Source organism: Homo sapiens, chromosome 17 (assembly GCF_000001405.40).
Source record: "Homo sapiens chromosome 17, GRCh38.p14 Primary Assembly".
NCBI classification, from domain to species: domain Eukaryota; kingdom Metazoa; phylum Chordata; class Mammalia; order Primates; family Hominidae; genus Homo; species Homo sapiens.
In genome coordinates, this window is record NC_000017.11 from 13,764,145 (window position 1) to 13,790,319 (window position 26,175).

Genomic DNA, 26,175 nt, shown 5'->3' on the forward strand with positions numbered 1-26,175 from the left:
CAGAGGAGAATGAGGGACAAGAGAGGGGAGAGCAGAAGAATATTAGAGAAGCCTTGCTTCTGAGACCTTCCAGTCCTCTTGTTCAAAGTACTCAGTGGGTCAAGGTGCCGTAGTTTGAGATATCATGTTCTGAGCCACAGCCCCACAGATTCCAGCACAGGATCCTAACAGTTCCTATACCATATGCATGGCCAATGACACTAGGTATTGGACAATTTATGTATCCACTAGACTTTGTTACTTAATGAGAGGCACCCCCAGCATCGACATTGCTGGAAGCGTGCCAAAGAAACAGAGTCTTGGGCTCCCACCAAGACCCACTAAATGAGAATCTACACTCAAACAAGATCCCCAGGTGATTCATTTGCAAATTAAAGTTTGAGAAACCCTGTTTTAGAGAAGTAGTTATCACAACTTGAACACACTTTGGAATAATGAAGAGTTTTAGAAAAGACGAATGCCTGAGTCTGACCCCCTAGACATTCTGATTTAATTAATATGAGGGTACAACTTGGGCCCTGGGATTTTAATGTGTAGCAGTTTGCCAACCTCCGCTCTAGAGCAGTTTCTCAAGCTTCATTGATAAAAATCTCCAGGAAATGCATGTTATAGTTTCAAATTCTCAGGATTCCTCCTGGACTCATGATTTCAGTATCTCCAAGAGCCAGGTTTTGGAGGCTGCATTTTTACCAGCACCCTAGGTGACTCTTCATCAGGAACGTTTGGAAAACACTGTTTCAGAGTAGTTCAAAGACATAGAACCCAGAAAAGAAGGAGTATCTATCAAAGCAATGTGCTTCTTGACTCTCCTAATACATGGCATTACTTCGTGTGTCATCATAGAAATGCCCATTCATGAGGCACAATTATGAATTTATTGTGCTTGGTTCACTAATGAATTGTGTTGACTAGTAATCTCTATATTTTAGAACAGGATCTTTAAATTCATCATTTACTCATTCATTCATTCCAAAAATATTTATTGAAGGCTATAAGTACCAGACCAAGTTCTAATTACAGTAGACCCTTGAACAACATGGGCATTAGGGGTACTGACCCCCACACTATCAAAGACCCCCATGTAACTTTTGACTCCTCCAAAATTTAACTACTAATAGCCTGCTATTGACTAAAAGCCTTACCAATCCACACGTTTTGTGTGTTATGTGTATTATATGCTGTATTGTTAAAGTAAGTTAGAGAAAAGAAAATGTTATTAAGAAAATTAAAAGAGAAAATATATTTACTATTCATTAAGGAGGCGTGGATCATCACAAAGGTCTTTATCCTTGCTGTCTTCACTTTGAGTAGGCGGAGGAGGAGGAGAAAAAGTGGGCTTGGTCTTGCCGTCCCACTGGTTGCAAAGGTGGAAGGAAATTTGCAATAAGCAGGCTCATGTAGTTCAAATCCATGTTGCTCAAGGGTCAATGGTACCGAGGATATAATGTTGAACAAATAGAAGTCCCTACTACCTGGCATCTCTATTCTAATAAGAGACTAAATAGTAAAAAAAAAAAAAAGTAGTAAACAGGATAACCTAGTTATATATTTGAGGTGTTGTGAAAGAATAAAACTCATTAAATAGCAGAAACTGGCTAAGGGTAAAGAGTAGTTTACGTTAGGCAGGCTAATGGGAGTTAGATTTATTAATAAACTATGAGAACCTCTTTAAAAGAAACTCAGAAAAGTGTGCTCCAGACAGAGGAATAGCAAGTGCAAAAGGCCTGAGCTGGAACAAGCTCAGTGTGTTCTAAGAATAGAATATCAATGTAGTGGTTTCACAGAGAACAGGAATGTTTCAGGGTGAGGTGGCAGAAACAAGCATGGAATCAAGTCATGCAGGATCTTGCGGGCCCTGATAAAGGGGTTGGGTTTGACTCAAAGAAGAGTTGAAAGTCACTGGAAGATTTTGACAGACAAGTGATATGTTTTGGAAGCTTTTTGGAGAATGAATTTTGGTGGTCAGAGTGGAAGCCTGTTGGGCAGCTATTACAGTTGTCCAGGTAAGAGATGAAGGTTTTTTGGCCTGGAGAAAGTTCACCTATTCCCCAGTGTTTGTTCTATCGAAATATTTCTATCAGTTGATTTTCTTCCCCTGTTTAAGGAAAAAGAAAAAGAAAAACAGATTTTTTTTCCCCTGTGGTTTTTATGTTTTATAGAAGCCTTTTTTTTTCTTTGTACATCCAACCAGAACAAGTGAATTCTTACCATTTTCGGAGTGAGAGTGGGGGAGGACTGTCCACCCATTCCTGATGAGCCTTTTACTATGGTTTAGGTAAAGATTTTTATTCATAAATCTCTAGAGTATTTGCTTTTCATGACTTTTTTTCTAACTTTGGTTTTGAAGCCCCTTTAATGCTCTTTGTCAATTGTGCAATGCTTTCCATGTGAGTGGAAGGAGAACTCATACCATTTCGAGTGGTTAAGTGCCTTTAAATGATTTAAAATGCTGGGAAGATATTTAAGTCTTTGGCAGGGGGATTTGAAGAGCATGTTATTTCCAGCTGTGGGTTAGGTCCATATTTGGATGGAGAAATTCTTAGCATCAAGAATATCACAGAATACATCCAGGTGTTTTTAAGAGCTGCAAAAATGTCACAGCTAAGAAGAACCTTTCATTGTTCCTTCAAGATACTACACTGCCACACTCCTTTCTCAATGAAAATGAATACCATGAATCGTGCTGCTGAAAGGACTCTTGGATTCAATCCAGGAGGCTAGGAGGAAAGTGGGCTTTGGAGAACATTAAAAGCAGGAAACTGGAGCAGGAGAGTGTGGGCACTTGCGAAGGTGCTAAAGATGAACAGGACTTAGCTTTGTAAAGAAGGTGGTTGGGGGTAGGTGGTAGAAAATTCCATTCTGGAAGAGTAAGAGTTATAAAGAATGGGAATTGGGAGGGGAACTCGAAAAGTAATAAAGCATTACATTTATGGTGTTAGGTTAAGAAGAAGAAGAAGAAAGACTATGTCTTTATGATTTGAGTAACATAGTTGCTCTTGGGACCTGGATAAGTTATCAGCTCACAGGCAGTTATACTAAACATTGTTTTAACTGGGATGTTAGTATATTTGCCTGTATTTTAAGGTTGACATTCAGGAGGACAATCAGACAACATATTCCTTTGTGTTGCTTTCAGAGAGAGGACAAGGTGGTGATTAGACCATGGAGCATTTCAAACTGAAGACTGCATGAAATCTGCTGGGCTGTGATCCAATTAATGGCAAAGCAATTCAACATAATTGACCCCCAAATAGTTGACTCAGTGACACATGGATAGAGCTTTGACAGCTTAGCAGTGAGATCAGGAAAGGAAATTAATATGTGATTTAAGTAAATTCAGGAATCTGGTAGTTTAATGGACTTAGACACTTTCATCCTTTGTTATTAAATTGAATCTGGCCCAGTTAGGAGTTATTGGAAAATTGATTGTAATAAACTGGCGTCTGTGATATGCTTCTTCCTGGATCACCTGGGGGAAATGATTCAACAACAGCACAGGCACACACTCACACACTTAACTTACACAGACCCACCTTGTGTTTCTTCCTAGCAGGGTGGGTGTAAAGTGTGATAAATGGTGAAAAGGTTTGGAACCAAAAGTAGGACTTATGAATGCCAGAAAACCCAGGGTTGGACATAGTTCAAGCAACACATTTTTAATTAAAAGAAAAAATTGGTCTTAAGCTTGTTTCTTCTAGATTCAGGTTTCATATTTAATCTAACATTTTCATGGCTGCTGTAAGGACTTGGGTTTGTTGCTTAAGTCTCCCTTGAAATACCTGTTTATTCATTGGGTTTTAGACTCTACTGCTGTGACTCTTCCCCCACCACTTTATCTATGCATGTGCGGGTATATGTGTCATGATATAATATATGTGAAGACAGCAGGTTTAAATTTTTCATTAGTTTGTTAGTGCAGAAGGAATACATAATTAGAAAACTTTAAACCATTAAGTGAAATAACTCAGAAATAGAAAATCAAATACGGCATGTTCTCACTTATAAGTAGGAGCTAAATAATGTGAACACATGGACACATAGAGCAGTATAATAGACACTGGAGTCTCAGAAAGGTGGGATAGTGGATAGCGGGAGGTGTTGGTGAGAGATGAGAAATTACCTAATGGGTACAATGTACACTATGTGGATGATAGTTACACTGAAAGCCCAAACTTCTCCAGTGTGCAATATAACCATGTAAGAAAGCTGCACTTGCACCCAACAATCTATTTTTAAAATTTTAAATGTAAATAAAATTAAATTAAATTTCAAATTATATGAAAGTATTTGAAGCAAAAGGTAAAAGAATATTTAAATTTAAATAGACATTGTCAAATAGTCTTACACAGAAAGCTTGTGCCAATTTATACTCTCACAAACAGTATATGAGAAATCCCTTTTTTTATTCCTTTGCATAGTTTGTATAATAGTTTAGTATATGTGTCTCAGTGTAAACTTGAGCGTTTATGAATGTGGAGTTCGGGGTTTGTTTGTTTTCATTTCACAAAATGATGTTGCTTACTGTTCTCCAGGCTCCCTGTCTGCTTCATATTCCTCTCAAACAGCAAGCTCCAGCCAGGGCCAGGTCTATATCCTTACTCCTTCCTTGGCCTGGGAGACTTCTTTGATTCTGCTAAGTTGTCATCTTCTCATCTTCCAAGCCTTAGCTCAAACAAAATTTTCCCTACAGAATTTCCCTCTCCACTGTTATAGAGAAATCCCAATTCACTCCAAAGTAACCATCTGTATCACACTTCTCTATTTATTTCCCTCAAAGAATGTATCAGAATCTGAAATACCCTTGACCATGTATTTATTTGTTTTCTCTCTCTCTGTATTAGTCCATTCTCACACTGCTAATAAAGACATACCCGAGACTGGGTAATTTGTAAAGGCAAGAGGTTTAATTTTCTCACAGTTCTGCAGAGCTGGGGAGGCCTCAGGAAAATCACAATCATGATGGAAGGGGAAGCAAACATGTCCTTCACATGATGGCAGGAAGGAGAAGAATGAGTGTCCAGTGAAGGGGGAAGCCTCTTACAAAACCATCAGATCTCATGAGAACTAACTCACTATCACAAGAACAGGATGGGAGAAATCACCCTCATGATTCAATTATCTCCACCTGGTCCCTCTCATGACCAGGGGATTATGGGAACTACAATTCAAGATGAGATTTGGGTAGGGACATAGCCAAACCATATCATTCCATCCCTGGCTCCTCCCAAATCTTATGTCTTCACAATTCAAAACATAACATACCCTTCCAACAGAAGTCTTAACTCACTCCAGCATTAACTCAAAAGTCCAAGTCCAAAGTCTCATCTGAGACAAGGCAAGTCCCTTCTGTCTATGAGACTGTAAAATCAAAAGCAAGTTAGTTTCTTCGTAAATACAATGGAGGTACAGGTATTGGGTAAATACACCCATTCCAAATGGGAGAAACTGACAAAACAAAGGAGCTACAGGACCCATGCAAGTCTGAAATACAATAGGGCAGTCATTAAATCTTAAAGTTCTAAAATGATCTCCTTTGACTCCTTGTCTCACATCCAGGTCATGCTGATGCAACAGGTGGGTTCCTATGGTCTTGGGTAGCTCCGTCCCTGTGGCTTTGCAGGGTACAGCCCCCCTCTAGGCTGCTTTCATGAGCAGGTGTTGAGTTTCTGCGCCTTTTCCAGGCACATGGGTGCAAGCTGCAGGTGGATCTACCATTCTGGGGTCTAGAGGACTGTGGCCCGCTTCTCACAGCTCCACTAGTCAGTGCCCCAGTGGGGACTCGGCACTGGGGCTCCAACCCCACATTTCCCTTCCACACTGCCCTAGTGGAGTTTCTTCTTGAGGGCTCTGCCCCTGCAGCCAACTTCTGCCTGGACATCCAGGTGTTTCCATACATCCTCTTAAATCTAAATGAAGGTTCCATAACCTCAATTATTGACTTCTGTGCACCTGCAGGCTCAACACTATGTGGAAGCCACAAGTCTTGGGGATTGCACCCTCTGAAGCCATGGTCTGAGCTGTACCTTGGCCCCTTTTAGCCATGGCTGGAGAAGCTGGGACATAGGACACAAAGTCCCTAGGCTTAACACAGCAGGAGAACCCTGGGCCTGGCCCAGGAAACTGTTTCCTTCTCCTATGCCTCAGGGCTTGTGAGGGGAGGGGCTGCCATGAAGGTCTTTAACATGCCCTAGGGACATTTCTCCCACTGTCTTGGTGTTAACATTTGGCTCCTTGTTACTTATGCAAATTTCTCCAGTCAGCTTGTATTCCTGCCCAGAAAATGGGGTTTTCTGTTCTATCACATTGTCAGGCTTCAAATTTTCCAAACTTTTATGCCCTGTTTCCTCTTGTATGCTTTGCTGCCTACTTCCACCAGATGCCCTAAATCATCTCTCTCAAATTTAAAGTTCCATAGATCTCTAGGGCAGGGCCAAAATGCCACCAGTCTCTTTGCATAGCAAGAGTAAGCTTTACTCCAGTTCCCAACAAGTTCCTCAGCTCCATCTGAGACCACCTGAACCTGGACTTCATTGTCCATTTCACTATCAGCATTTTGGTCAAAGTCAGTCAACAAGTCTCTAGGAAGTTCCAAACTTTCCCACATTTTCCTGCCTTCTGAGCCCTCCGAGTCTCTAGGAAGTTCCAAACTTCACCACATTTTCCTGTCTTCTTCTGAGCCCTCCAAACTGTTTCAACCTCTGCCCGTTACCGAGTTCCAAAGTCACTCCCACATTTTTGGGTATCCTTAGAGCAGCATCCCACTTCTGGTACCAATTTACTGTATTAGTCCATTCTCAACATGCTGCTAATAAACACACACACAAGACTGGGTAATTTATAAAGGAAAGAACTTTAATTGACTTACAGTTCTGCAGGGCTGGGGAGGCCTCAAGAAACTTAAAATCATGGAGGGAGGGGAAGTCAAACAAATCCTTCTTCACATAACAGCAGGAAGGAGAAGAATGAGTGCCCAGTGAAAGGGAAGCCCCTTATAAAACCATCAGATCTCGGTGGATCACGAGGTCAGGAGATCGAGACCATCCTGGCTAACATGGTGAAACCCATCTCTACTAAAAAATACAAAAAATTAGCTGGGTGCGGTGGTGGGTGCCTGTAGTCCCAGCTCCTTGGGAGGCTGAGGCAGGAGAATGGTTTGAACCCAGGAGGTGGAGCTTGCAGTGTGCCAAGATCACACCACTGCACTCCAGCCTGGGAGACAGAGTGAGACTCCGTCTCAAAAAAAAAAAAAAAAAAAAAAAAAAAAAGAAATCATCAGGTCTCAGGAGAACTAACTCACTATCACAAGAACAAGATGGGGGAAACTGCCCCCATGATTCAATTATCTCCACCTGGTCCCTCCCACAACACATGGGGATTGTAGGAACTACAATTCAAGACAAGATTTGAGTGGAGACACAGCCAAACCATATCACTGGTGGAGCACCAGTGTCTTGAGATCCGAGATTTGTGTGTCTTTTACTGTACTCTTTTTCCAACCTGGCCCAGTGGCTGTCAGAGAATGAAGTTGAATTTGTTGTACTGATGGATTAGCAGCTCCTCCATGGTCCTGGAAGGATTAACAGGCCCTGAATGGAGAGGAGGGAGGCAGATAGACATGGTGTCTGACATCTCCACTGATGTTACAGCTTCATACCCAGTAGTTCTTTTGAGATAAACATGATGTTCCCCATTAAGCTGGTGAACTTTAAATAAACAAGAGAGGGTTTTTTTTTTCCTCCAGGTTCTCCTTTTGAGATGAAACTGTAGGAAATCTATCACATTTGAAATTCTTGCTCATGTTTTTCTATTTAGTTCAACTTATTTTCCAAATTACAATTTGGGTCATAAATACCAAAATAAGTTGCTTGGTATTTTTGGGAAAACAGTATATTAATTTATCTGATTTTTGCATTTTTTCTACTTCTAAGAAAAAACAGGAGACATTCATGGCAATGTGATATGACAGGAGATTGTCCTGTTGGTAGTGATGGTTTGTTTTTTTTCTGTATTGCCCACCCATTGTACAGCATTCAGAGAATTCTGAAAGTATAAAGAAGGAATTGTAATTCTTAAATTACCTTTTATTGTCAAAATAAGCATTTTTTTCTTGAGCTGGATTTCTCAAAAGCAAACACTGAGAGAAGAATTGGCATGTACGTTATTTATTTTGGAAGTAACCTCAAGATCACCTGTAGGAGAGTGGGGAAGTAAGAGGAGGAAGGAAGGTATTCGACAGAAAGTGTGTTGAAGAGCAGGTCACCATCATAAGCAACGGGCTTAATCCTGCTGGGGATGTCTGTGAGGCTATATAATACAGACCTCTGAGTTGTCCCACTCAGTTAAAAGTAAATTGATGTATTCATATGCCATGTCCGGCCCATGATTGGTTGAGGGCTGCTGCTAGGGATGTTAACTTGCTGGGCACCCACTCATGTCTTCTGGTCCTGCTCCAAGCACAGACTGACGAAGTTACCATGGTCAAAGAAAGCCCTTAGGCTGAGACTCGGGGGAAGGTACATTAAAAAGAGAGCATGCACCAGAACAGTGTGTGGTACAGAGGCACAGGAGGGCATGGACAGCGCCTCCCACACAATCATTAGAGACTGGCTGGCATAGACCCAATCCAGCACCAAGTTCTACCCTCCCCTACAAACAGGCAGTGCTTAACAGATACAGCAGTAACAGAAACAATAGTTTAGGAAAATCAAATTCAAGACTGAACATACCAACAAAAGTCACCTTTAGTGGTTGTGGCAGTGAACCAAGGCTCCAAACATGCTTGCACCAGGTGACTTGGTCTCTTGTGTTCCTGTCATTCACCAGGAGGAGAACATGCACCCACGTAGTTGCTTGTCCAAGGAGAGTGTGAAGTGGGGCAAACCTGAATCCAACCCAAATGCAGAAGCCCAGCCCAGCTAAATGTCACCTAGAGTAGAGCCACCTTAGTCTGCAGATGTGTGAGCAAGAAAAATAAATGCTTATCATTGTCAGTCACTACTTTTCAGGATTGTTTGTTATGCAGTATTATTGCAACAATAGCTGACTGACACAATACTCCAGGGAACAGATTTAATAGAGCAATGAGAACAATAGTTTAAATTTTTAATTGCAATCTTCACAGACATAGAGTGGATATTACAGACCTTTTTAAAAAGGAAGAGAGAATCAATGAGACAGCTTGTGAATTATAAATGCTATCACTAAAATTAAAATCTCAGAAATGTGGACTAAATGGTATCATGGATACAGACAAAGAAGAATAAATTCTTGAGTTCCTAGATACAGCCTAAAACTTGACCTGATGTTTAGCACAAAGAAAGAAAAAAATAACTATAAATCTTGATAAATGATGGATAGATCCAAGAAAGGAGGAAAGCAAATGTGAGAAGTAGTGATGGGAAAAAATATCGAAGAATTAAGAGCTCATCAAATATTTGAGAAGGAATGAATGAAAAAGGGCCATCACTGAGATACATTGCGGCAAATTTTTATTAGAATAATAAAATTTGAGGTAGAGAAAAGGATACCTATGAGGGAAAAAGACTGAATTAATACCAATGCTCTCATCAGCAATGTTGGATTTAAACATTAAAATTAAAAAAAGTTTTGATAAATTAGAAACAGAGGGAAATTTTACTAACTAACTAAATGATAATCCTAGGAACCTATAGCAAACGTCATACTTAATGGTGAAACAATTAAATTATTCTTTTTATAGTTTGTCAATTTTAATTTTCAGTTTCAAATATGTCATACGTAACTTTTCAAGCTAAATTGATACAGATCTATACAAAGAGTGTGAAGGGTTGCATACTATTTCATTCTATACCTGATGTGTTCTAATGTATTTAGTCAGTCCCTCTTTTGTAGGGGATTGATGATGTCTAATTTAAAATTGAAAAATGTGCATGACAGTTGAAAATTCCTCTACCCTCTCTAAATCTGATTGGATATTACCAATATCTTTAATCTTGAGTAATTAATGACTAAAAAATACATCTTCTGGGTTTATTAAAATATTCTTTTACAAGTACTACTCTGCAGTGTATATGCTGTGGAAATTTTAAAAATAAAATCGAAAAATAAAAGTACTACTCAGCTCAGGAGGCTAAGGTGGAAGGATCGCTTGAGTCTGGGAGGTGGAGGTTGCAGTGAGCCAAGTTCATGGCACTGCACTCCAGCCTAGGCAACAAACTTCTCTCAAAACAAGCAAACAAAAGAAAGTGCCACTAAAGCTAAAGATCCTCTTATATTTTTTCATTCAATATGAATGACTGGTGAATACGTGCACCAGGTCTTTCCCGAGCAATAGGAATACATCACTGAACCAAATGCGATTCACTGCCCTCAAGAACCCCATGTCTTCCTTCTTTTACCAGCTATCTGTTAATCTACTCAGCTGGTCTTCTTGCTCCCTTTGATTTTTACAAACCATTCATGCATTAGAGTAGTAATCCTTTGTCATGTGTGTTACAAAAATTTGTAGCACGCTGTTTATGTTTTAGCTCTTTAGAGTTCTTTTGTGGAATCTCAGGGAAGTTTTGACTTTATGTAGACACATTTTTTATGTTTGCCTATTTTTCTATCTATTTATCCCAGGATTGAAGAAATAGTCTCCTACATTTTCTTCTAATATTTTTATAATTATTGAGCTTTTAACTGAAACTTTTAACAGATTTATTCCCTGCCTGGGCATGACTTAAGAATCATATATACCATGTATAATCTAGAGTGCATTGTTTGGTAATGAAAGAGTGCTTTCACATATTAATGGTTATGCTTTTACTCCTGCATCAGATTCTCCTGTGTTAAACATGGTGATGTCACCAGAATGGTATCAAATCACCCAAGTCAAAATGTTCTTCTTCGAAGCAGCTGATGCCTTTAGAATAAGGTCCAAAATCCTTAACATGGCTTACACAGCCTTTCACCACAGGCCTCCCTAGCCTCTCCCCAGCGCAGCTCACCCTCCTCTTCCTGGCCCCTGCACCTACTTCAATTGCGGCTCCCTGCACATGTCATGCCCTCTCCCCTGGAGCCCTCCTGCCTGACCTGGTTGCTTCTCACTTAGCTAACTCCTATTTATCCCTCAGTTTCCATGTTCCCTGCTCAAGGAAAGGCTGGCAGTCAGTTTATAAATATTTCTTGGGCCACCTACTAAATGCCAGACCAATGATCACCCTCACTCCGCAACCAAGGCTGAAGAGGTATTAATCCTATGTCTGGCATATCAGCCATCACAACAACTTACAACAGCCTCATGGCTTGATGGTAACAAATTGCTAGGCAGCAAGCATCTTGAGGGTAAGGACCTTGTCTTTTTCACTAGCGTTGCAGCAGCTGACATAGAAATCAAAGTGAATACAGACAAAACGGTAAACCAATGAGAGCCAGGAGGAAAGTATGATACAATTTCATTTCCTGGAAAGTGAATAGGGCAAGAGAAAATATGCCTGTTGTTCAAATACCTGTGCCATGGGTGGCTTTGAAAGAACACTGACTTTGAAGTCAGGAGAACTTGTTTCAACTTGTGGTGGCATCCAGTCCCAACCCTATGACCTTGAATGAGTAAACTTTTTCAGCTCCTGTTTCCTCATCTATTAATCAGCATAACGCCTATGCTATCCAAATCTCAGGGTTATTACATTTCTTGAACTTTATGATGTGCCACACATTGCAATTATTTCATTAATTTTATTACCTTGTTTAATCTTCATGCTGTATGGTGGAGATATTATTATTATCCTCACCCATAAGTTGGAGAGTCTAAGGACACTGGGCCCACATGAGGAAATTAGAGAGGGTTACTTAGTGTAGTAAGAGTACTTAGAGTTTATTTAGTGTCGTCTGAACCTTGGAGGGGTTAAATGAGCTAACCAAGTTCACACAGCTTCAAAATGGTAGAGCTGAGATTCTGACCCAGGACTGCTCGACACCTGAGCAAGAGCACTTAATCACTGCTTAAGGCTCACTCATGTCAGAACAAGAGAGTTTGTAAGTGGACAGGCTTTGCAAACTGTCAAGCACAAGGTAAATGCTGGTGATGAGGAGCAAGTCATTTGTACAACAAGGAAGGCAGCGGTATCATCTGGACGTATGTTTGCCTTCAGGGAGGGATGAATGCCTGGGATTTCAGATCTGATCCAAGTTCAATGTGTCTGGCCCAAGGTTATTTTTGATTCAAGGCCACTGTGTCCTGGTTTCTATCAACACTGAAATAAACACCGCTTTGCAATCTGCGCCTTTTATTAATGATGTGACTCACTTAATGAGGGCTTTGCTGACTCACATCAATCTTCTTTGTAGAAGAGGCCCATCAAGGAATTGTAGACAGCTGCCAGGCTGGATCTACTCTGCGTCAGCGTTTGGCAAGTTCAGCCACCCTGCAAACACCTTTTCTTCAGAAGAGGGGAAAGAGTGAAGCTTCAAGGCTAAAGATCAGCACAACACACACACACACAGACACACACACACACACACACACACATTTAAAAACCTATTTTATTGGGTTTATCTGGACATTGTTGTTGTCGTTGTTTTAAGTTCCAGGCAGCCAAGCAGCCATGGATGGATTACTCTTAAAACCTGATCATAAAATATTGTCCACATGGGCAAAGGCACTAATCAAAACTGTGAAAGGAAAGGTTTGAATTAAGGAAAAAGTTCAATGAGACACAAGGGATTTTTCATTGCAAAGTTTCTCTAATTTTGTATCCCAGGCTGACCCATAAAGGAACAAAATATTCTGCCTTGATGACAACATGTGATTTAGCGTAGTCTGTATTACAGAATGGCCACAGCTTGAAGATGGCAGCATGGTTTCCCCAGAGTCTGGAGCAGAACTTGTAGTTTTGTCTACACACAATGACCCATTGACCATTTTTTCCTGAGGAATTGCTTTTTTTGTTGTTGTTATGTGAAAAAGCTTTGCCCAGTCTGCTAGTTCTTAGGTCTGTTTTTTGTCACTGTCCACATAGAGTTCTTGGAAAACAATACGGGCTAACCCCAAGTTTGGTTGTGAATTTCTTCCATAATAACCCACACGTCTTGTTTTACATGTAAGTTGCTTGCTGTGTCCTTCTCTCCTTGCCCTCCCTATGAGTCACCCACTTAGGTTGGGAGCTTCTAGATAACGACGCCCCTTCCAGGACCAGCATCCGTCCCTTTTCCAACCGCACAGTCCTGCCTGGACTGACGAAGGAAACCTAAAAACAAGGAAAGTTTTCATAAGCATTGCAATAAAAGGAATGGTGCTATTTAAATGTGAGATTATACAATAGATATAACATAGAGTAACACACAAGAATCACCTGGGCAGCACTGTAACTCACCTTTCCAGGATGGCAATTCTGACCTCATAAGAAACATGTAGGGAGTCCCCTTGTAGATTCTATTGTTTCTGGGTTGAGTGATGCTGGAAGTGCGGGGATGCTGAGAGGCTCAAAGAGATTGCTTCATTTAGAGGACTCTCTTTGGCTACCATGCAGAGGTGGAACTGCAGGGCATCTGTGCGGTTCTGAGTTGGGGGTTTCCACAAAACAGTCATTCTCCTCCTCCCCACCCCTGCCTCTAGGCATAAGGAGTGGCAGTGCCTGAGAAGAAGACATGTGGAATTCACAACTGGCCTTGACAGAACACTTGGGCCAGAAGCCAGGCACCAGCAAAGGCAATGGAGGCAGGATAGAGGATTCTCTCCAAAGCAAGATTCCCTATTGCAGCAGGCAGTGGTCACTACAGCAGTTGGCCAGATAGAGAGAAGAACTGCAGAGAGGAATTCATCCTGCCAGAATGCCAGGATGAATTGCTGAAGCATCACCCACCTATCTCGTTATTCGGCTTCTGAACTGGTAACCAGACACCCAGATTAAGAGCTGAGAGGATGACTGTGGAAAGGAAGGGGACAAATATAAGACATGGACACTGTTGAGGGATTCAAAGAAAATGAAAAGAAAAGAAAGGAAATAGCGCACTCAATAAGTAGAGAAGGAATTAGGGAAAATGGTCAGAAACAGTCAGAATGTGGGTGTGTTGGCTGCCATTACCAGTCTTAACAACACCCACAAGAGACAGATGACCGCCAGTTTACAATGGGATGGGCTGCAAGCCCTTGGAAGGGAATACAGCTTCTCCAGGAGGAACATTTTCTGCTTGTAGTCTTCAATTTTAGTAGACTGAGAGTTTAGTAACCCTTACAGGGCTAAAAACAAACAAACAAACAAACAAAAACCAATTTCTCCTAAACTCCAAACTGAAGCAGTTTTAAGTAATGACTTGAAGTCCTGGAATTAGCAAGATATAAAACTTTGGTCCCAAATCTCTGCTCAAAAATCTTTCATTACGGGATCCCTAGCAGATGACATGTTCTAGCCTGGTAGGAATGGTAAGATTACCCAGGATTATCCCCAAAGCCTGTTGTTTTAGACAACTTCAAGGTCACTATTGAGAGGAGGGTTGCATAGAGCACAGAGTTCGGTTTGGAAACTATATGGAAACAAGATCTTTGGCAGTAGTTACTTACACATGCAACTGATGGGAAGCAAATAAACAGGAAATCTACTAAATTATTAAGGGAATTCTATCCAAATAAATCACAAGCTTACCCTCAAAAGCCAGTAATCATTCAACCCCTAAGCAACTCCCAGGCCCTCAAAACTGCACCAGCAGGAAGAGAGCGAATAAAGGGCACAGCCCCCAGAAAGATCAACCTTTCCAAAGCCCACCCCAGATATGACCACCAAGGACAAAAAGCAAGGAGCAGAAGCTGAGGCTGCAGGATGGGACCACCAAGCCATCGACCGACCTGCCAGGTAGGAGGGTCTTTGCTGTGGCTACTTCATGGCATGGCTCATTGCTATAGATCCAGTTGGAAGGAAGAACAGAATTAGGATCACACAGTAGCCACTGCTCAGTAACTATTGTGTGTTTCCAATTCTTTTTCTCCAAGAATACATTTTTGTTTTGGTCATCATATTTCTCCTTCACTGATATAGATTAGATATGGAAGGACAGGAAATGTGTGTTTGGGGTTAGACACTGATTGATGAGGAGCCATAGCAGACATGGAGAAGATTGCACATCATCCTGCAATCATGGAGTTTGAGTTGAGCGCCCTAACTAAATAGGACTTGGGACTGTCTCCCTGTGGAAGAGGAATATGCCAAAGGAATGGAACAAATGCACCTGGATATTCAGGTGGTCAAAAGGGCAGAATGACAGAGACAGATAATTGACCTCAATATCTATTTTCTTCTATCCCAGAAATAAATGTCTAGCTGAACAGATGGCTAGTCAGAGTGAAGAAGATGCTTCATGGCCTCCCTCGCATTGTAACTAAGTTCTAGCCAATTGTATATAAGCCAACAAGGTATATGCACCTTCTAGGAAGATTCCTTAATAGGAGGGTCCAACCTCTTCTTTGGGCTTTCTTCCTTCATGCTGGATGGAAGAAGATGTGATAGATGGCGCTGCAGCAGCCATTTTGTTACTTAGGAATGAAAATGAAAATAAGATGGGCATCCTGATGACTGTGAAACTAAACTTCCACAGCAGCTCCAGACTGCCTAATGATTTTTTTATGAAAGAAAAAATCAACTGAATTTGTAAAAGTCATTATTTTTTTCCCCTTGGCCCTTACAAACTTAATATAACTATAATACATGTATAACCTAAAATTACCCAAAGAAATATTCCAATCAACTAGTAGATGGATCACAATAAAGAGTCCTCACATAGAAAACTATGATATGAAAGAATTGAGAGTAGGTGAGAAAACTATTAAAGTAAAACATAAAGTCTAAATAATTCCCCAGATAAGGCTGTAAAAGTAATTAATGAATAAAAAGTTTCATGATGTAAAGTAATGATTATCATTTAAAAAGTTAAAGGATGTATTCAATCTTACTGATCATTACAATGTTACTGCTGACTTACCATGTGCTAGGCACTGTTGTAAATGCATCCTGTGCACTATGTCATTTTATTTTCATAATAACCCTATGATACTATTATGCCCACTTTCGAGATGGGGCAGCTGAGGCACAGAGAAGGTAAACCCTTTGATCACTGCCCTATGTTATCTGTCAGCCAAAACCTAGGAGATGGCAGAGCAAAGTAAGAAGTTAAATAAGAGTGTTAGTTTCTTCATTTTATATAAAGAGGACTCATGAGTGTTTTGCACTTGTTATTGCCAATTAGGTTATCGATGGCAATGAAGCAAAAACAGAATGTATCTGTTCTAAGTCACTAGAGGAAAAGGTGGTTACGAAAAGGAATTACAGCCCATACAACAAAAAATTAAAAGTAAAGGAAAAATAAGAGAACATTAAAAATAAAGTACAAAACTACAGAAATAAAAGAAAAAATAACACTCATTACATTAAATGTATAGTTGGCCCTCTGCATCTACAGGTTTCACAACTGCAAATTCAACCAACCTCATATTTAAAATATTCAGACATGAACAATAAAGAATAATAATACAATAATTAAAAAGATAAAAATAACAGTATAAGAAAAATTTACATAGCATTTACATTATATTAGATATTATAAGTAATGTAGAAATTATTTTAAGGACACAGTAGGATGTGTGTGGGTGATATGCAAATACTATGCCATTTTTTATGCATGCTTGGATTTTGGCATCCTGGGGGTCCTGGAACCAATCCCCCACTGGTATAGAGGACTGACAGTAAATGCTTAAACTACTCTATTGAAGGGTGAAGTCCCACAAGTTTAGGCAAAATATAAGATACAACAGTGAAATCAATGTACTGTAAATAAGGACCAGAAACTAACCCACTTATTTAGTATATGCTAAAAGAGATATTTTAAGTCAATTGATACATGATTGTATTAGTCTGTTTTCACACTGCTGACAAAGCCATCCCTGAAGCTGGGCAATTTACAAAAGAAAGAGGTTTACTGGACTTACAGTTCCACATGGCTAGGGAGGCCTCACAATCATGGTGGAAGGCAAGGAGGAGCAAGTCACATCTTACGTGGATGGCAGCTGGCAAAAAGAGAGCTTGTGCAGGGAAACTCCCATTTTTAAAACCATCAGATCTCATGAGATTCATTCACTATCACGACAACAGTGCAGGAAAGACTTGCCCCCATAATTCAATCACCTCCCATTGGATTCCTCCTATGACATGTGAGAATTGTGAGAGTTACAATTCAAGATGAGATTTGGGTGGGGACACAGCCAAGCCATATCAATGATGTAATTCGCCAAATGGTAGCTTATCTACCATTAACTGCAAGAATTAAGTTCCCTACATCAAAATGAAGCTGAAGCGAATCATAGGTAAAAATATTTAAAAAGCAACCTAAAAAAATCATAAAAGTATCTTTAAATAATTTAGAGCAAGTATGGTCTTTATATACATATAAGAGTGAAGGTAAAAGCATAAATGAAAAGATATGTGATACAATAGAACCATTTACCAAAACACACAATAAGCAAATCGAGATAGAAGAAATTGGGGCAAAAATAGCAATATTGAAGGCAGGAAAATAGATTAAATTCAAGATATATAACGTCCAAAAATCAATAAAAGATAAGCAACAAGCTAAAATAAAAAAAGAGTTTGAACATAAAATTTACAAAATAACCATTTAAAAAAATTTTTTTTACAATTTTTTAATAGAGACAAGGTCTCACTATGTTGCCTAGGCTGGTCTCAAACTCCTGGGCTCAAGCAATACTCCCACCTTAGCCTCCCTAAGTGCTGGAATTACAGAAGTGAGCCACTGCTTCCAGCTAGTAACCATATTTAAAGCATGATACTGCTCAAAATCTAATAGCAATTTTCATTACTAACCATAAAAAGGAATACACTTTCCAATGTTGACAAAGATATGGGAAAACATACATCTATATAGCATTTCTGAGTGTGTAAGTTAGTTCAACTTTGGAAAAGTATTTTGGCAAAATATACAAATCTATCAAACCTTTAAAAATGCTCACCTGTTTTTACCCAAAAATTCTGCTTCTAATCATTTGTATTTTTAAAATAATTGGACTAAAGATTTAACTATAAGAATGTTTGGTCAGGAGTTTGAGACCAGCCTGGCCAACACAATGAAATGAAACCCCCTCTCTACTAAAAATACAAAAATTAGCCAGGTGTGGTGGCATCTGCCTGTAGTCCCAGCTACTTGGGAGGCTGAAGCAGGATAATCGCTTGAACCTGGGAGATGGAGGTTGCAGTGAGCTGAGACCATGCCATTGCACTCCGGCCTGGGTGACAGAGTGAGACTCTGTCTCAAAAAAAAAAAAAAAATATATATATATATATGTATACTTATATACATATATACGTATAATATATGCGTACTTATATACATATATACGTATAATATATGCGTACTTATATACATATATACGTATAATATATGCGTACTTATATACATATATACGTATAATGTATGCGTACTTATATACATATATACGTATAATGTATGCGTACTTATATACATATATACGTATAATATATGCGTACTTATATACATATATACGTATAATATATGCGTACTTATATACATATATACGTATAATATATGCGTACTTATATACATATATACGTATAATATATGCGTACTTATATACATATATACGTATAATATATGCGTACTTATATACATATATACGTATAATATATGCGTACTTATATACATATATACGTATAATATATGCGTACTTATATACATATATACGTATAATATATGCGTACTTATATACATATATACGTATAATATATGCGTACTTATATACATATATACGTATAATATATGCGTACTTATATACATATATACGTATAATATATGCGTACTTATATACATATATACGTATAATATATATGCGTACTTATATACATATATACGTATAATATATATGCGTACTTATATACATATATACGTATAATATATATGCGTACTTATATACATATATGTATAATATATGCGTACTTATATACATATATGTATAATATATATGCGTACTTATATACATATATGTATAATATATGCGTACTTATATACATATATGTATAATATATGCGTACTTATATACATATATGTATAATATATGCGTACTTATATACATATATGTATAATATATGTGTACTTATATACATATATATGTATAATATATGTGTACTTATATACATATATATGTATAATATATGTGTACTTATATACATATATATGTATAATATATGTATAATATATGTATACTTATATACATATATATGTATAATATATATGTATACTTATATACATATATATGTATAATATATATGTATACTTATATACATATATATGTATAATATATATGTATACTTATATACATATATATGTATAATATATATGTATACTTATATACATATATATGTATAATATATATGTATACTTATATACATATATATGTATAATATATATGTATACTTATATACATATATATGTATAATATATATGTATACTTATATACATATATATGTATAATATATATGTATACTTATATACATATATATGTATAATATATATGTATACTTATATACATATATATGTATAATATATATGTATACTTATATACATATATATGTATAATATATATGTATACTTATATACATATATATGTATAATATATATGTATACTTATATACATATATATGTATAATATATATGTATACTTATATACATATATATGTATAATATATATGTATACTTATATACATATATATGTATAATATATATGTATACTTATATACATATATATGTATAATATATATGTATACTTATATACATATATATGTATAATATATATGTATACTTATATACATATATATGTATACTTATATACATATATATGTATACTTATATACATATATAAGTATACTTATATACATATATATGTATACTTATATACATATATATGTATAATATATATGTATACTTACATACATACGTATATAATAATATATATATATTTTTTCACTGAATTGTAAATAGTGATTACCTCTGAGTTGAATGATCAAATTATGGACAATATACTGCAATTTATTTTCCTTTGTGCTTTTCTGTGTATTTTGATTTTTCTGTGTGTATTTTTTTATAATATGAGTATATACTAAGTATTAGATTAATAAGGATTTTAAATATTCTATTTAGCTCTTAAAAATCAAAATGAAGGGCTTTTATGTCCCAAAATGAATTAATCATCCTAGTCTCCTAAGTTCATGTTTTCTTTAATATTTTATCTTGGAACCCGCAAGCCAGAAAGCTGAGGATTATGCTCATCTCCACCTCTGCCTGGGCACCTCAAGATCTCCTAAGACCCACATTCCATTCGTTTCACTTCCATTCACATCTGACATCCTTCTCACCACACCCTTCGTATATAATAAGCTGATTGTGGTTGGAAAGATCCCTTAGCTGATGCTGTCCGTTCCAATAACTGCTTAGATACTTTCTGCCTTCCTTTCACACCAAGGGTGGACCTACCAGCTCAGCATTTCACTTGCGGCTTCCCATTACCAGCTGTGTCATGGTAATCTGTCAAGCCTCAGAGCCACAGAAGTTTAGAATGAAAAAGAACATATGGATTATCTTGCTCTGCCGCTAAATTATCTCAAAAGAAGAAACTGGAGGTCAGAGATGCAAAATGACTCCCCAACCTCACAGCTAATTCCTGTCTGGAGCCCAGTCTCCCCTAGTCTTCACCACCTCAAACCTCAAATTCATTCATTTCTTAGTAGAAGCCAGGCATTCTCGCCTGGCCTCTTGCAGCCCTAACAACAAAGGGGTTTGCACAATAAAAACACTGGTAAGATTTGGGGTGCAAACTCTGGCTTTTAGCTGAACTTGCTACGTGGCTGCAGCTGAGCCATAAAGTCATCTGGTCTTGGCTGCCCTCTTAACTCAAATTTGCAAAGTAAAGTAGTAAAGTATAACAGAAGCTTCCTTTGATTTAAGGCTGCTGGGGGAGAGAGCCTTGAGTTAGGAACAGAGATCCGAGTTGTTTATTTAAATAAATGAATGGAACTTTAACAGAACAGCTAATAAACAAATCCACAAGGTCATGCCAGGCTCCCTGGGACCCGAGGTGTTGGGTCTGAAATCCAGCCAAAGAGACCAACACATCACTTTGGCCTCCCAGAGTTCTCCAGTGGTCTCCAGGGTCCCAGTGGGGCCTTGGGTTTGGAATGGCTTCTGAGAAGCCAGGCCTGGGGCTGGGGGGTGGGGGGTGCTGGCAGTAAGGGGGAGCTTTATTTTACCTACCCTCTAGAAGGTCTAGAAGGAGGCGCAGCCCAGGGACACTGCCAGCTGGGAAAACCAGTGCCCCACAGCACTGAGGTCCACCCAGCTCCTCTTCTCAGACCACAGATTTGAATTTTAATGTTTTAACCCTTTAGATATGATTTATAATTTAGGTTTGCATATTGACGTCCTATTGGCAAGCTGACCTTAGAATGACTCCCGGCCCTATCAAGGAACTTTCTCCTTGAAACCCCTATCCCCACTTCCCTTCTATGTAGAAGCATCTTCCTTCTTTTCTCTCCCTCTTATATTTCAAGATCCTGTCCAGAAGCAACGTCCTTCATGTTGCCTTTGCTTAACAACCCAAAGTGAACTTTGTCTCTTCTGCTTCCCTGAAGGATGTGGTTGGCCCTTGGAACTCTGGCTGCCATTGTAATGAGCTTTCTCATATGGTAGAGATCTAGACACAATTTTCTTTTCCCTGTATGCTTTGCCCTGAATAAAAGTAAAAAGATATAATCAAACAAAGAAAACCTAAGCATGTGGCAGAGAGCAGTTGTCATCAAAGAGGCCATGAGGGAAGTAGAGATGTGTTACCACTTTCTGGGACATTATGGTCTGTCTACACTCACAAAATGAGTGCTAGATGTTGCTTTGTTTTGTTTTTGGCAAGATAGGTGCATTTCAGGGCTTTCTTCCACTGCTTCTGCCTTTCAAAGCAAGCTGGGGAGCCCTGGCTGACGTAACAACTGCTTATGACTTTCCCTTGCGGTATTTTTTACTAAAGCAGTTTTACTAATAGGCTGTTTACAGTCATTTTCCTTTCACAGCTGGCCCCGGAGTGAAATGAAAACAAAAAAAATGATACCCAGGGGTTTATCAATTTTTCTTCCTTATAAACTGTTAGTGCGTCTCAGCAGGAGAAGTTCACAATCCCCGATTTATAACTGTGTTCAGCAGGATTTGTCTGCCCAGATTGACTCACAACATGGAAAAAGCCCAGATCCCTCCAGGGGAGCTGGTGCCCCTTGCTGAGCCTGGCCGCCTCACTGCTGGGTCTGTGATGTGGCCAGGGGGTTGTGGCTCGCGGGGCATCAGAGCTGTGCAGGGAGAAATGGAGACACCGTCCCAAAGTGGCTTTATGAAGATTCCAAAAGGGTAGAGGGGCTTTATTCCTCCTGCATATATTTACTTAAGTTTCTTTTTAATATTTCCAAGGGTGGGGGGGGGGGGGAAACCATGATCATGACATTTAACATGCAAGAAGTAGGGGACAGCCCAACAGCAGTACCTAAAATCCCAAGCTAGAATAAGACAGTGAAGGGACAGAGACACAGAGAAGCAGGAAGGAAAAAAGTAAGAGGCAACAACTCAGATTTCTTCACCGATCAGACGGGGAAGAAAGACATAGCCAAACCTCATTTGGGTGGCACGTGGGAGAAGCTACCCAGATAAGCCATTGCTTTTAGGTTATGGTGAGTGAAAGGAAGGAGTTTGTGCAAAGGATCATTTCATCCTTTCCATATACACTTGGTTAAATAATCAAGCCCATAGTTGTGATTCCCTTTAAGGGTACTTTTTTCATTCATTTAATGTTTTATTCACTTACTCATTCATCCGAACTGAGAATCAACTGAAAGCTGGATAAGTCATAAAACAATCTCAGCTTCATGCAGCTTTCAATCTAGTGGTAGACACGGACTTAAATAAATTATTCTACTAATGATCTGTATAATACAAGGAATCAAATCTAGACTCAGTTTACCTAGCCTAAGTAAGAAGAACATCCCTGCTGAGGTTCCATAGAATCTGAAACCTAAATGATGAAACAAGCCAGAAAAAAGAGAAAGACAAATGATACATGGAAAAATGAAAATGTGAAAAATTCTAAGCTTGAAAGAAGCTTGTTGAGTTTGAAAAACAGTGAAAAGGCCAAAACAATCAGAGGATATAAGCAAAGGAAAAGGTGGCTTCGGAGTTAGCAAAGGATGGACCATCAGTGCCCTGCAGTCCACACTGAGGCTAAGGAAGATTCTCCTAAAAATGAGAGAAGCTATTGGAAAGTTTTAAAGGATGGCAAGACATGATCAGCTATGCATATTAGGAAGATTATTCTACCTGATCTATGGAAAATGAATCAAAGAGAAAAAAAACGACCAGTAGTTTAGTATGGCCTTCTAGGTAAGGAAATGGTGGTTTATTTTAGGATCCCAGCTTGGGCTAAGGTGATCGCAATGGAGAGGAAGAGGATGGAGATTAAATACGGTTTTTTTTTTTTTTTTTTTGGGGGGGAAATAGAATTGACAAGACTTGCTGATAGAAGGGATACGCTTTTTCTGGCATGAGTAACCAAGTAGATGAAGGTGTTACTTCCTCTAATCAGCACCTATTTCCCACTTCCCCAAACTCACTTGGAGCTGACAAGTTACATGAAGCTTCTGTCTCTCCAGTCTCACCTTCAACCCACCATTCACCTCTCTATGATTACCCCTAATCCCAGCCTCTCCACTTATCAGCTCTGTGTCTTTGGCAAGATATTTAGTCCCATGAGCTTGAGAGTCCTCATCTGTAAAATGTGGGACAGTCAAGAGAATTAAATGAGATCATATCTGCGGAGCTCCTGGAACACAGAAGGCATTCAATAAATGCGTGTTTATTTCCTCCCTGCTTCTCCTTCTTAGCGCTGGCCTTCGAGATCTTGAATTTGGTACTTCACGTTCCCAAATATAACCTTTTAGCTGGCTCCTTCTCTCATTCTCCATCCGACACAAATTTGTTCTTCCACCTCATCCAGATAAATATTCACTTATTAACTCCATCCATCTAGCTAATTCCATTTTCCATGTCTGTTCTACTCAAATTTCAATACTTGTTTTTGACCTCACGGTTATTTACAACCTGTGTGTACAATACCTCCCTGTTCCCTGGTGGGAGACACAGTAAAGTGGCTGAAGTTGGGGACACAGGTTGCGTGCTTAGGAAATCAAAAGATGTTGTGGGTCAAAGGCAGGGCAGGCAAGGATGCTGTCTGGTGCTGGAGTCAATTCAGAAGCTAAAAACCAGAGCCAGGCAAGCTGTTAGGTGAATGGAGGCAGACACAACTTGCCAGAGATAAGGGGTCTTGAAAGGAAAGCAAAGGTCTGCCTCAGACAGGAAACCTCTCATTCCCTCCTCTGTCACTGTTGCGGCTGGATCCAACCATGGCCTTCCTCCTCACCCTTGTTAACTGCATTCCCAGGATCATGGACTCATTCCTGTAGCCTCTGCTGACATTAGCACACCAGACAGCAGGATTCATGCAGGCATGTGGTCTGGCTTCTAATAGAGACATCCAACCTGCACTTGCTCGCCTCTGAGAGTGCTAATGTCTCCTCTCCTTCCCAGCATTAAAAATATTTTAAATTAAGCAGGAAGTTGAAACTAGTTTATCTCTCAGAGTCCTTCCAGTTCAAGGAGTTTTTGTGTTCAACAGAATGAGCTTGATTTTACTTCATTTGAAATATATTTATTGAATAAATAGTAGTTGCACATGGTAAAATAAAAACAGCCTAAAAGAGTGTATGCTAAACACCTTCACTTACCTTCCTCATATGCAATTGCTGTAACAAGTTGTGTGTGTGTGTGTGTGTGTGTGTGTATGAGTGTGAATGTTTCCAGAAATATTTTAACCATTTAAAAGCATAAGTGGCTGAGCACCTATCCCCTTCACTTGTATCTTCAATCATGAAGCCCCCACTGCCTTGGTCTGATTGATTGTGTCCCCACAAAATTCATATGTTAAAATCCTAACCATCACAGTTATAATATCAGGAAGTGACGCCTTTTGGAAGGCGTTTAGGTCATAAGTGCAGAGTTTTCATGAATGAGATCAGTGCCCTTATAAAAGAGGCTCAAGAGAGATTTCTCATTCCTTCCACCATGTAAGGCTATAATGAGAAGATGTCCATCTTTGAAGAATGGGCCATCACTAGACACTGAGTTTGCTGGTACCTTGATCTTGGACTTTCTAGTCTCCAGAACTGTTGTTTATAAGCATCCAGTTTATGGAATTGTGTTGAAGTAGCCTAAACAGACTAAGACACCCACTCTTTCCCAACCCCCATTTATAGAATAAATCTATTGTTCTTTTGTGTTCTCAACAGGCTAAGTATAGACTTCTATTATAGTTTCTATAATGCTTTTCTGCCTCTGTCTTACTTCCCATGTGAAAAAATATGAACAAAATAATAAAAGTAACCCAAAGAAAGTAAAAGGCAGAAATTATAAGGATAGCAGCAAGAATTAATGATATAGAAAACAGCCCCCCGAAAATATTCTCACTAATCTGCAAAACCGAAGTCTGCTCCTTGTAAAGACCAATGGACTAGATAAGTCTTTGGTAGGTCTGACTAAGGGGAAAAGAAAGACAAAAGTAAGACTTACTTTACTTAAAAAAAAAAAAAAAAAGTGGTATTATGTCAGCTATGCAGGAGGCTTATGAATTGTGAGGCTATCTTGCAACACTTTATGCCAACAAATTTCAAACTCTAGGTGAAATAAATGACTTCCTTCCTAGGAAAACAGAAATTATTCAAGAAAAAGTATAAATCCTGAATATACTAATAACCATACAAAAAACCAAGAAAGTAATCACAGATTTGCCACTAAAGACTCTGGACCCATGAGTCTGTTCAAGGAACAGACAATTTCATGTCATATAGCATATTCTACAGCATAACAAAAGATAGAAAATTTCTCCACTAAATCTATAAAAATAGTACATTTTAAAAAGTAGGCTAGTATCACATACATAGACTGAAAAGTTTTAAATGAATTCACATATCAAATCCAACCATTTAAAAATAGAATGTCAACATGGCTTACCTTATTTATCATTGGGCAATCCACTAATAAAATTCACCACATAGGCTGATT

The 26,175-nt window shown here is 38.7% G+C and overlaps 1 long non-coding RNA gene across 4 annotated transcripts, besides 2 other annotated features; it reads right to left on the minus strand.

The window, feature by feature from the left end:
* Window positions 1,705-1,905: a silencer, noted in NCBI's record as "peak2744 fragment used in MPRA reporter construct". NCBI's record gives its function as "represses an SCP1 promoter by STARR-seq MPRAs in K562 erythroleukemia cells {active_cell/tissue: K562}" and the evidence as "EXISTENCE:reporter gene assay evidence [ECO:0000049][PMID:32103011]".
* Window positions 8,676-8,845: an enhancer, noted in NCBI's record as "experimental_47013 CRE fragment used in MPRA reporter constructs". NCBI's record gives its function as "activates a minimal promoter by MPRAs in K562 erythroleukemia cells, with activity observed for the introgressed 17:13676222 variant allele {active_cell/tissue: K562}" and the evidence as "EXISTENCE:reporter gene assay evidence [ECO:0000049][PMID:34662402]".
* On the minus strand, window positions 12,484-26,167 carry LOC107985014 (uncharacterized). Of its 4 annotated transcripts, none has more exons than XR_007065628.1 (3): window positions 26,125-26,167; window positions 13,821-13,883; window positions 12,484-13,592 (listed from the first exon to the last, which is right to left on the minus strand). It is a non-coding gene; the product is annotated as an uncharacterized LOC107985014 (long non-coding RNA). The 4 variants fall into 4 exon arrangements; XR_007065627.1 differs by lacking the exon at window positions 26,125-26,167 and adding an exon at window positions 15,375-16,917; XR_007065626.1 differs by having other exon boundaries at window positions 12,484-13,883.
* Window positions 26,168-26,175: the final 8 nt, after the last annotated feature.